At 38.1% G+C, this 13,229-nt stretch overlaps 1 protein-coding gene and 1 pseudogene across 10 annotated transcripts in view; one reads left to right on the top strand and one right to left on the bottom strand.

Moving 5' to 3' along the window:
* Window positions 1–13,229, bottom strand: part of HORMAD2 (HORMA domain containing 2) — a 129,725-nt gene that overhangs the window by 93,524 nt on the left and 22,972 nt on the right. For 7 of the 10 annotated variants that reach the window (XM_047441154.1, XM_047441156.1, XM_047441155.1 and 4 more), the window contains 4 exons: window positions 10,433–10,496; window positions 9,496–9,532; window positions 2,117–2,137; window positions 1,411–1,437 (listed from right to left, as the gene is read on the bottom strand). In XM_047441154.1, the coding sequence (XP_047297110.1) occupies window positions 1,411–1,437; window positions 2,117–2,137; window positions 9,496–9,532; window positions 10,433–10,496 (149 nt within the window). The remainder of the gene's footprint in view (window positions 1–1,410; window positions 1,438–2,116; window positions 2,138–9,495; window positions 9,533–10,432; window positions 10,497–13,229) is intronic. The other 3 variants (NM_001329458.2, XM_047441157.1, XM_017028625.2) reach the window with 2 other exon arrangements.
* Window positions 8,525–8,833, top strand: RPL36P17 (ribosomal protein L36 pseudogene 17; annotated as a pseudogene).

The raw sequence follows: 13,229 nt of genomic DNA, 5'->3' as shown, positions 1-13,229 counted from the left end.
GGAACCATTTTGAAATGAAACAATAGACAAAGAAATAAAAGATAGAACTAGTTTGGGCATTGAGGAATTGCTACCTACCGTATGTAAAAGTTTTCTTACCCCTTGCTTAAACAGCTACATGTCATCTTGCAAAGAAAGAATATTAAGAGCCAAAAATGCATAATTTAGTCTAGAATAGCACCAGTTAGGCTAAATATGTAGGCTTAGAGAAGGAAAATTGAAAGTAAAGAAAAAGGAAAGAAAGCTAGGAGAAAGACAAAGAGAGTAAAGTGAGAAGAGAACAGAAAGTTTCTCCCTCAATTTCTGTCCCACAGCCACATTCAAAGTGGCACAAGTAACTATTATGTGTCCAAGACTATGAGACAAGACTCTTGTCCTCAAGAATTCACAATCTGGGCCAGACATGCTGGGTCATGCCAGTAATCCCAGCACTTTGGGAGGAGGAGGCAGGAAGATCACTGAGGTTAGGAGTTCAAGACCAGCCTGGCCAACACGGTGAAACCCCATCTCTACTAAAAATATAAAAATTAAAAATATAAAAAATATAAAAATTAGCCGGCCATGGTGGTGCATGCCAGTAGTCCCAGCTACTCAGGAGGCTGAGGCAGGAGAATTGCTAGAAGCCTGGGAGGCAGAGCCAGCCTATGTAACAGAGCGAGACTCCATCTAAAAAAAGAAAAAAGAAAAAAAAAGAAGAATTCACAATCTGGTTGAGGAGATTAAGTAATCAATATGAATCAATTGAGAGTGTTAAATTGTGGGGTTCTGCTGGAAAAAGAATTTAAAGAAAGAAGTTAGTATAGACCAAATAGCCAAAGAGGTTTACATATAAGATATGAACATAGTTGGCCTTGAAGATGAGTCGGATTCCCTAAACAGAGGGAAGAAATCTAAAGAGAGAAGTAAAGAGGTAAAGCTCTGAAAATCTATAAAAACACGAAAAGAGGGAGAATTTAGTTGGCAAAAATGAAAATTAGAGTTATGCCATATCTCATTTATTTTCCCAAAAGGCCATAAACAGAAAAGATTCATAATCAGTTTAAATAAATAATAAAATGTGGTTTTATATGACTCGGAAAAAAAGTTCATAAAAATTAAATTTAAAAAATTTTTAAGAAAAAAATGTGGTTTTATACATTTATACATTAAGAGACTCTTAATGCCAACAGGTTAGGGAATAAGCTCAGTTCTTCTCAATGCCTTTTTTCCCCAATACCCTTACATAGTTTTTGAAAAATCTCATAATAAGAGATTGGTCAAGTTTAGAGTAAAATATACTGAAAGAGCCCACTATTAGTTCCTCTGCTCATATGGTAGTCTAGTAACAAAATCTATAGCCTCAACTCAGAAAAACATCTTAAAATATAATATACATATACTACCCACCTATACGTTTGTGTGTGTTCTTACCTCAGATCCCATGGGATCTGTGTAAAGCTGTATAAGGGAAAATAAACATCATTTAATTTCTGGAATTTACTAGATTACTCCTCATCAAATACCTTTTTTATATAGAGTTCAATTTGTGTTCTATTAGTTGAGTACAGACATATATTTTAAGCTAGAGATAGGATATGCTTATTTTGTGAATGTAGAGTCTTTAGAATATTCTGTGAACACTGAATAAAAGGAAATTAATAATGAAGGATTCATAATTACCATGACTAAGCTACAAATAAATTCTAAATAATCCATTATGGTTTAAAATTTGTTCAATAAATCATAGATCTAAGACTCTCAGTGGTATCTTCTCATTTTCTATTCTTAACTATGTATAACATGTTAAACTCAGAGGTATACAAAATTTCAAAAGAGTCTACCAAACTTCAAAAACAAAAAATTTGGAGTCTGTAAAGTAACTAAAAAAATAAAATCCTGAGAGCCAATAAATGAAGCAGATAGTATAGCCTATACATTTTCCCATGTATTATACCAAAGAAATATACAATTCATAATCTTTTATTAAACTTCTGATAGATCCTATGTTTTTAATTCCAAGACAGATTAAAAAAAAAAAGTCAGGGAGGAAGAGGGAGAGTACTGTTTTAATGTTTCACTTGCCAAAAGACAATGAAATAGAGACAGAGGCTTGGTCTTTAAATGAGTGTGTACTTACTGTCAGTACTGCCATACGTAGCTTCAAGAGAAAGAAAAAAAAACTATTATTATTACATACTTGCACCTATATTATCATTCTTTTCAATAGACTAATTAAAATATTATTTCAGAGAGGTTCGAAAGATTTGGGTAGGAAAAAAATATCCAGAAGGCCAGAAGAAAAAGGATACAGTCATCCCTCAGTATCTGAGAAGGAATTAGTTCCAGGACTCCCTATGAATACCAAAATCCATGTGTACTCAAGTACCTCAGGGAGTATATGAAAAGTCAGCCTTCCATATCTGGGTTTCACATCTACAGATACTGTATTTTCCTTTTTCTTTTTTTTTGAGACAGAGTCTCACTCTGTCACCCAGGTTGGAGTGTTGTGGCATGATATCGGCTGACTGCAACATCTGTCTCCCAGGTTCAAGGGATTCCCCTGCTTCAGCCTCCTGAGTAGCTGCGATTACAGATGCCCGCCTCAATGCCCGGCTAATTTTTGTATTTTCAGTAGAGATGGGGTTTTGCCATGTTGGCTAGGCTGGTCGTGAACTCCTGACCTCAAGTGATCCTCCCATCTTGGCCTCCCAAAGTGCTGGAATTACAGGCATGAGCCACTGTGCCCAGCCTGTAGTATTTTCTTTTTCTTTCTTTCTTTCTTTCTTTTTTTTTTTTTTTTTGACAGAGTCTTGCTCTGTCACCAGGCTGGAGTACAGTAGCGTGATCTTGGCTCACTGCAACCTCCTCCTCCCGGGTTCAAGCGATTCTCCTGCCTCAGCCTCCTGAGTAGCTGGGATTACACGCATGCACCACCACGCCCAGCTAATTTTTGTATTTTTAGTAGAGACAGGGTTTCACCATGTTGGCCAGGATGGTCTCGATCTTCTGACCTTGTGATCCACCCACCTCGGCCTCCCAAAGTGTTGGGATTACAGGCGTGAACCACTGCCCTGGCCCCGTCCTGTATTTTCAATCCACCTTTGGTTGCAGATGTGGAAGCCACAGATACAGAGGGCCAACTGTATTTATTGAAAATAATCCATATATAAGTGGACCTGTGAAGCTCAAACCCATGTTGTTCAAAGGTCAACTGTACTTTTTTCCAGGAAGGTCAAAATTAATTTTATGCTAAAAGTATATTATATGAGGCCGGGTGCGGTGGTTCACGCCTGTAATCCTAGCACTTTGGGAGGCCAAGGTGGGTAGACTGCCTGAGCTCAGGAGTTTGGGATCAGCCTGGGAAACATGGTGAAACTCTGTCTCTACTAAAATACAAAAAATTAGCCAGGCATGGCGGCTTGTGCCTGTAATCCCAGCTACTTGGGAGGCTGAAACAGGAGAATTGCTTGAACCTGGGAGGCAGAGGTTGCAGTGAGCTGAGATCACGCCATTGCACTCCAGCCTGGGCGACAGAGCGAGATTCCATCTCAAAAAAAAAAAAAAAAAAAAGTATATGCTCACAATTCGATAGCAATTTTTTTGCATTATAAAGGGGAATTTCCTAGATATCTGAAAACTGATTCTTTCCTATAATTTTTTCTTTTTTTCTCTCCATTTCTGAAAGACTAGCATTTTTTAATTGATATATAATAGTTGTACATATTTTGGGGGTACATGTGATATTTTGATACCTGTATATAATGTGTAATGAGTTCAACTGTATTTTAAATCATTTCTAGATTACTTATAATACTTAATACCATGTAAATGCTATATAAATACTTGTCACACTGTATTTTTTATTTGTATTATTTTTATTGTTGTACTGTTATTTTTTCTAAATATTTTCCAGTTGGTTGAATCTGTGGATGTAGAATGCTCTGATACATGGAGGGCCAACTGTACTAACTATTCACTCATTCAAGTGAGAGTCCATTACGTACACAGGGCTCTGCTAGAGACGAGAGGGACACAAAAAAGATAACTATCCCTACCCTTAAAAAGTTATATTCTAGTTCTGGAGGCAAAAGGTATACAAAATAATTCATTATTACTAAATAATTAAATATGCAACAAGTACCTCAAAAAGTGTCCCATTTGAAACTAATCTACTAAAGTAAAAACATCTTATATGTCTATAAAGTCCTTGTCCTCTCTACATATACACTACTATGAACAGATTATCTCTGCTTGAAAGAGTAACATATAGAGATAGAAATATAATCAAGCCAATGATAATTGTTTTTAAAAACTAGAATACAAATCAGAAAATTTCAGGCCAGTCACAGTGGTTCTTGCCTGTAATCCCAGCACTTTGGGAGCCCAAGGTGGGCAGATCATTTGAACCCAGGAGTTCAAAGCCAGCCTGGGAAACATGGTAAGATGCCATCTCTACAAAAAGTAAATAATTAGCTAGGCATAGTGGTGCACACTTGTGGTCCTAGCTACTTGGGAGGCTGAGGCAGGAGGATTGTTTGAGGCCTGGAAGTTGAGGCTGCAGTGAGCTGTGATTGTGCCAATGCACTCCAGCCTAAGCAACAGAGTGAAACCCTATAAGAAAGAAAGAGAGGGCCGGGCATGGTGGCTCACGCCTGTAATCCCAGCACTTTGGGAGTCTGAGGCCGGAGGATCACAAGGTCAGGAGTTTGAGACCAGCATGGCCGACATGGTGAAACCCCGTCTCTACTAAAAATACAAAAAATTAGCCAGGTGTAGTGGCAGGCACCTGTAATCCCAGCTACTCGGGAGGCTGAGGCAGGAGAATCACTTGAACCCGGGAGGCAGAGGTTGCAGTGAGCCAAGACCACGCCACTGCACTCCAGCCTGGGCAACAGAGAGAGACTCCAAAAAAAAAAAAGAAGAAAGGAAGGAAGGAGGGAGGGAAGGAGGAAAGGAAAGAAAGGAAGGAAAGAGAGAAAGGAAGAAAAAGAAGAAAGGAAGGAAGGAAGGAAAGAAGGAGGGAGGGAGAGAAAGAGAGAGCGAGAGAAAGAAAGAGAAAAGAAAAAAAATTTCAGAACCATAATTTCATATCAAAGGACTAAAACTTTACTGCCACTGTGTGGCCATTTTGATTACTGCATATAAACTCATACATTACTTAATTGAGTTCATTTATTTATGCATTCATTCAAAAATAGACATGGTCCCAATCTCAGGGAACATTTAGACTAGCAGGGGAGAACAACGTTAAACAACAAAAAAATAGCAAAGATAGCTACATCATTAACATTGTGTTCATTGCTATGAAGAAGCAGCATGGGATGCTATGAGAACATGAAATAAAGGGACCATCTAGGCTAGGGAGGAGGGTGTCAGGGAGGGAAGTATTTACTTCCCTAGGGAAGTAAATATTTAAGCTGAGACTTGACAGATAAATTGGAGTTAGCCAGGCAAGGTGTATGGGGCAGGGGAGAGAAGTTTCCAGGCAAGAGGAACAATATATGCAAAGGTAAAAGGAGCTTGGCATGTTCTAGATTCTTTGTGTGGCTTGAACATGGGAATGACAGTGATGCCCTGGACAGGAAGATAGGGATCATACAGGCCTTGCAGACCATGTGAAGGACCCTGAACTTTATTTTAAAAGCTGTGGAAAATTTTTAGGCAAAAGAATGACATGATCAGACTTGGGTTTCTGAAAGTATGCAGTGTGGACAGTGGGTTGGAATGGTGAGGGATTGAGAATGCGAATAAGGAAACAAGCTAGATAGCTATATACAATATAGTCTCTTTTTTTACAATAATTATCTGCAACACTGATATGTACTTATTTTGAAGAATTCAAGCATAATATAAAGTACAAAATAAGTATAAAAATCACCCAAAATTGAAACCCCATCTCTACTTTAAAAATACAAAAATTAGCAAGGCATGGTGGCACGTGCCTGTAGTCCCAGCTACTTGGGAGGCTGAGGCAGAAGAATTGCTTGAACTCGGGAGGCAGAGGTTGCAGTGAGCCGAGATCACACCACTGCACTCCAGCCTGGGCAATAGAGCGAGACTCCGTCTCAAAAAAAAAAAAAATCACACAAAATTTCATAACTAGAAATAATCATGCTCTTACAGGGGAACACCTTTCAAGATCTCTAGATACTCAAATCTGATTTTACTCAAACTATTTTCATTTATTTATTTATTTATTTATTTGAGATGAAGTTTCGCTCTGTCGCCCAGGCTGGAGTGCAGTGGCATGGTCTCAGCTCACTGCAACCTCTGCCTCCTAGGCTCAAGCAATTCTCCTGCCTCAGCCTCTCGAGTAGCAGGGATTATAGGCACCAGCCACCATACTCAGCTAATTTTTTGTATTTATAGCAGAGACAGGGTGTCACCATGTTGCCCAGGCCGGTCTCAAACTCCTGGGTTCAAGAGATCCACCCGTCTCAGCCTCCCAAAGTGCTGGGATTACAGGTGTGAGCCACTGTGTTCGGCCTCAAACTACTTTTAAAACATATCATACCAGCTACAAGATCACCTGAGGAAAGTTATAAAAGATTAACAACTGAAAAACAATATAAATACTATTTACTTAAGAGACTAAGTCATCTATCTAAAATTTTGTCTTTTGATCTCTCCAAAACAAGCTATTTTGACTGAGTCAGTCATACAGGTAGACATTTAGTAAAATAAATTTATCAAACTAGCTAGATACTCTTTGTACATTATACTGCTATTTTAGTACATGTAATACTTATAATTTTTTATTTAAGAAGTGACCCTATTATATTATGACCTCCCTGGGAGTGGAATCACATTTTACTCTCATTATTATCTCATCCAATGCTTAGGCACAGTGTCTGGCACAGATTAAATAGCCAATGTATAAAGAATGAATGTTTAACACATACATAGTATTTGTTATGTGCCAGGCATTGTTCTAACCATTTTAGATCAGTGGTTTTCAAATTATGGTCCCTAGACCAGCAGTCAAGAGCATCTCTTATAATTTGTCTGAAATGCAAATTCTTACATCAGAAATTTTGAGGTGAGGCTTCACAACATGTGTTTTAACAAGTCCTCCAGGTGATTCTGATGCAAGCTAAAGTTTGAGAACCACTGCTTTAGATTATTAACTCATTTAATTATCAAATATCCTTAACAAGTGGATTCTATTATTATCCCCATCTTATATGCAAAGAAACTAAGGTACCAAAAGGTAGGTTACGTGCCAAAGGTCACACAGGTGTTAAGTGACAGAACTGGGATTCTTCAGACCATCTGACTCCAAAACTTGAAGTTCTAACTATATTGTACTGCCCCTCAATGAGGAACAGTCAGGAAATGCTGCTAAATGAATGGATGAAGGGGAATGAGTGAGCACTGTTCAGTATAACAGTGATGGCCGTCTCCCCCTCTCAATCTGTCCAAATATTCAGGGCCTCCAAAGCTCAGAGGCTATTTTCTCTCAAAAGATTTCTCTCATGTTTCTCACAGGGTATAGTGCCTCCTTTCCCATACTTCCCATTGCATATGATCATTATCTGTCTTTTGGCATGCATCACTTTCTAATGAGCATTATAGGGGTGATTGAAATATCTCTGATATTTTTACATAAAAATATCAAATTGATATAAAAAAATCAATATATAGTCTGGGTGAAGTGGTTCATGCCTGTAATCCCAGCATGTTGGGAGGCTGAGTTGGGCAGATCACTTGAGGTCAGGAGTTCGAGAGAAGCCTAGCCAACATGGTGAAACCCCATCTCTACTAAAAATACAAAAATTAGCCGAGTGTGGTGGTGCATTTCTGTAATCTCAGCTACTTAGGAGGCTGAGGCAGCAGCATCGCTTGAACCTGGGAGGCGGAGGTTGCAGTGAGCCAAGTTTGCGCCACTGCACTCCAGCCTGGGCAACAGAGTAAGACTCTGCCACACACTCACAAAAAAATTAATAAATAAACATGTAAAGCCCAATATGACATAGATACTGGCCAATCAGAAAGGATGCCAATTTGGCTCTAGAGCTGGCCTCCTGGAAGCAACGTTCGGACTAGATATTAACCCTTTGGTTACTGGATTTTGGAGTGTTCTGGAGAGATCCCAAAAGAGACACTGTAAGGTGATGGGGAGGATATTGATGGGGAGCCACATGAGGTCTCAGAAAAGTAGCTATTCACCATTCAATACAGAAATATTTCAATATTTTAAGAGCAGATACAGCTGAGTCAGTATGTAACAGCTGATCATCAGCCCTGCATATGAATTCACTTATCTTCTGCCATGGTTACAAGCTCTTTCCCACTTCTGTTTTATCTTTGTATCCCTAGGTCCCTCTGGTCAGTGTTGAATAAATCATAAGTAACAAATGTGCAGTGGAAATAGAAATGTATGAATTTGCTAAATAATCCAGTGTAAGGCTTCCTGACCTCAAGATTTCTTAAAGGAACAGGAATTGAGGAGTAAAAAGAAGACATAGATGGAGAAAGTGGGGAAAAGCAGTGGCGGAAATTTCAAATACTTACAGGCCTTGGCTGTCACTGGAGAGCAGCAGCCATGGTTCTGCTTTATCCTACAGCCATGGGCCTCAACAAGGGCCACAAGGTGACCAAGAATGTGAGCAAGCCCAGGCCCAGCTGCCATCGCAGGTGCCTGACCAAACACACCAAGTTCATGCGGGATATGATCTGAGAGGTGTGTGGCTTCACCCTGTATGGGCAGCATCCCATGGAGTAGCTCAAGGTCTCCAAGGACAAAAGGGCCTTCAAGTTCATCAAGAAAAAGGTGGGAACACACATCCGCACCAAGAGGAAGTAGGAGGAGCTGCGCAATGTCCTGGCCACCATGAGGAAAGCCGCTGCCAAGGACTGAGCCCCCTGCCTTGCCCTGCCCTCTGTTCATAATAAAAGCTTCACAGAAAAAAAAAGAAAAAGAGAAATTTCATTTATATACATCTTGTCTCTTCAACTAGGACTAGAGCCTCCATTTTGTACACCCTTCATAGCTGTCTTGGGCAGCATGAAAGATCAGATGCACTTAAAATTTAAGCTGTATTTTTTTAAAATTTGAGGTACAATACTAGCTATTGTAAGGGAATAGATTATACTTATGAACAAAATATAGTTACCAAAATAACTAAGACAGAATAAAAACCAATTATTCAAGTCAATTTTTTCCTTTCATATCTGCAAATTGAATCACCACTATTCTAAATTTGTTCAATGCACTAAATGCCAGATTCTTGTCTCTCCTGTCCCACATCCTGTGGATCTCTTCCAGTGACTTCAGAGGAAACTCTGTGGTCAAAAAATGTGAGTATGTAAAAGAGAAAAAATGAGTTTTCTTTCTAATTGATGCAAAGGAGACAACAACAGGACAATAAAGACATAAGATAAGAAATTAGTTTATGGATGCAAACGTAGACACTTATACTGTTAAACACAAAAACAAAATAAATGTCTAATTTCTTTTTTTAAAGAATAAAAGACAAGCCTTTGATTCCAGTGTAAGTGTAAAAACATTCTTACGTATCTCTTTTCCAAAGCATCAAAACAACCTTGAATCCTGTCAAGAAATAAATGTTTGATGTCAATTGGACCATATGCAAATCCAAAAAAATTCCAAGTACAGAATTCATTTGCACTTTTTGCTTTGATGTACATTAAGTTGATAACCATCTTACCTTTCCCATTTAATCATTTTTTTAAACTTCCAGCAACTTTTAATATGATGATAGACCTTTATAAGTAATAGTGAGCTATTTTGTGGTAGTGAACCAAATTTTTTTGGATCCCATGTTTAGTACACTGACACACATATGATGAATTATCAATTTTTAAAATCTGTGTGGGTACATAATAGGTGTATATATTTAATATTTTATCACAGTTTTTATTTTTATACAAGTCAATTTTCTTTCAAAAAGCTAAATCAGTGTCTTAAAATTATATTGAATAATTCTTACAAATTCCTAGAAAATTATTTTTAAAAAGAAAGAGGGAAAGTAGGTCAGGGCAGTGGCTCACACCTGTAGTCCCAGCACTTTGGGGGGCCAAGGTGGTTGGATCATGAGGTCAAGAGATCGAGACCATCCTGGCCAAGATGGTGAAACCCTGTCTCTACTAAAAATACAAAAATTAGCTGAGCGTGGTGGCATGCACCTGTAGTCCCAGCTACCCGGGAGGCTGAGGCGGAGAATCACTTGAACCTGGGAGGCAGAGGTTGCAGTGAGCCGAGATTGCGCCACTGCACTCCAGCATGGGGGACAGAGCGAGACTCCATCTCAAAAAAAAAAAAAAAAAAAAAAAAAAAAAAATCAAAAACAGAAAAAGAAAAAGAAAGAGGGAAAGTAGAAAAGAAGAAATGGTTTTTTAAAAAATGATCTTACTAAATAAAGTCTTATGGGTAATTTCAGCCATGATAAAAATAATGTTGTTCAACTTTTATAGAATTTCTATTACTTACCATCTGATAATATGCAGTGACCCGGGACATTTTTTATCTTCTCGGAGGATTTTTAAACTGAGGTCTACAAAAACAGAAACACAGTCTATTTTTATCTACTAAATGACTGCTGTACTGAAATTGTCCATGCTAAATAGGGTATTTCCTTTAACTATTTTATTTATGTAATTTATTTAGTTTTATAGCTTATAAAAACATTTTGGATCTCTAAACATCTACTTTAAAAATAAATCCTATGTTAAGAAGTAGCTTGGTCTCAATTTCGATTACAGTAAGGATTTTCCCCCTTCTACAATGTAGCACAACTGAGTTGGCTCCAAAATCAATTTGTGTCCTTTCTTTGCCGCTGTAGAATTCTAAGTAATTATGAGGTAGTATTGAGACTATCTCCATTGACCAACTTAAAATATACACCTAAATATCAGTCATTTCCCTGTTATTTCTCTCCCTCTCATTGAAAAGGAAGGAATAAAAAATTTCACACGGATTATTCTCAAATATTTATTTTATCCGAAATCTACCTTTTTATACTTAAGAAGAATAGGAATATCATATTAAGAGTTTGGGTTTAGGCCGGGTGTGGTGGCTCACACCTGTAATCCCAGCACTTTGGGAGGCTGAGGCAGAAGGATTGCTTGAGCCTAGGACGTCGAAACCAGCCTGGGCAACCTAGTGAAACCTCACCTCTAAAAAAAATAATTAAAAAAATTATCTGGGCATAGTGGCACATGCCTATACTCCCAACTACTCAGGAAGCTGAGGCAGGAGGATCACTTGAGGCTGGAAGGTCGAAGCTGTAATCCTGTAATGATCATGCCGCCACACTCCAGCCCGGACAATGAAATGAGACTCCCTCTCAAAATAAATAAATAGAGTTTTGGTTTAAAGTAGTCCAAGATCAATCACTGATTTATGTGTGATTTTGCATAAGCAACTTCACCTTTTCGTATTGTTTTCCTATACTAAAATTGATGTTACCTGTATCTCTATTGAGGGATATGAAAATTATCCCATGTTGATATAACATTCAGAAATTACAAGAGAGTGACACAGGAGTATTAAGCATTTTTATGATGTATATTACTTTAAGAACAAACATTGAAAGGGAGACATAAAACTTCCACAATAACTGTCACAAAAAATAAAGCTATAGGGAATGGTATCATTGCCGTTGCCTAGGGTAGTGACTGGCACACAATATGTGCTTATTATCAAAAATATGTCTTTCTCAATTCTATGTTCTAGACAAGAGGGAAAATTACAAATATATGTTAGATATAAACACATTCACTATTACAAGTTTGTATCTCATAGACCAAAAGATGTCATAATACAAATGAGGTTGTCATGATTGCAAATATCATGTTTATGTGCTTATAGCACACATGCATTTTATTGATGCTCTTACATTACTTAAGATAATTTTTTTTTTTGAGACAGAGTCTCACTGTATCACTCAAGCTGGAATTCAGTGGTGCAATCACAGCTCACTGTAGCCTTAACCCCCCAGGCTCAGATGATCCTCCCACCTCAGCCTCCAGAGTAGCTGGAATTACAGGCACTCACCACCATGGCCAGCTAATTTTTTGTATTTTTTATAGAGACAGGGTTTCACCGTGTTGTTCAGGCTGGTCTTGGATTCCTAGGCTCAAGCAGTCTGCCCACCTTGCCTTTCAAAGTGTTATGGTTACACTTTGGATTACAAGCCTGAGCCACCATGCCCAACCAAGAGAATTAGACTGAAATGAGGCCAAGGTATATCATTAAATACAGATGTAAGAAATTTAAAATTAGATTTTGAAAAATAACATCTTACAAGGCAACTTGTAGCTCTCTATGTTTATTTTCCAAATGACAGTTCCTATTTTAGTGACAAGTCAACAAGATTCACAATCCAGCTTTTTTTTTTTTTAATACTTTAAGTTCTGGAATACATGTGCAGAAAGTGCAGGTTTGTTCATGTGCCATGGTGGTTTGTTGCAACCATCAACCCATCATCTAGGTTTTAAGCCCCACATGCATTAGGTATTTGTCCTAATGCTATTCCTTCCCTTGCCCCCCACCCCCCTACAGGCTCCAGTGTGTGATGTTCCCCTTCCTGTTTCCATGTGTTCTCATTGTTCAACTCCCACTTATGAGTGAGAACATACATAACACAGGTTTTCTGTTCCTGTGTTAGTTTGCTGAGAATGATGGTTTCCAGCATCATCCATGTTCCTACAAAGGACATGAACTAATTATTTTTCATGGGTACATAGTTTTCTATGATGTATATGTGCCACATTTTCTTTATCCAGTCTATCATTGATGGGCATTTGGGTTGGTTCCAAGTCTTTGCTATTGTAAATAGTGCTGCAATAAACATATGTGTGCATGTGTCTTTATAATAGAATGATTTATAATACTTTGGATATATACCCAGTAATGGGATTACTTGGTCAAATGGTATTTCTGGTTCTATATCCTTGAGGAATTGCCACACTGTCTTCCACAATGGTTGAACTAATTTACACTCCCACCAACAGTGTAAAAGCATTCCTATTTCTCTACATTCTCTCCAGCATCTGTTGTTTCCTGACTTTTTAGTGATTTCCGTTCTAACTGGCATGAGATGGTATCTCATTGTGGTTTTGATTTGCATCTCTCTAACGACCAGTGATGATGAGCTTTTTTTCATATGTTTGTTGGCTGCATAAATGTCTTCTTTTGAGAAGTGTCTGTTCATATCCTTTGCCCACTTTTTGATGGGGTTGTTTTATTCTTGTAAATTTGTTTTAAGTTCCTTGTAGATTCTGGA

Source organism: Homo sapiens, chromosome 22 (genome assembly GCF_000001405.40).
Source record: "Homo sapiens chromosome 22, GRCh38.p14 Primary Assembly".
In the NCBI taxonomy this organism is placed as follows: Eukaryota; Metazoa; Chordata; class Mammalia; order Primates; family Hominidae; genus Homo; species Homo sapiens.
The sequence above is the reverse complement of the archived record's forward strand: the minus strand, read 5'-3'. Positions and strand labels throughout refer to the sequence as shown.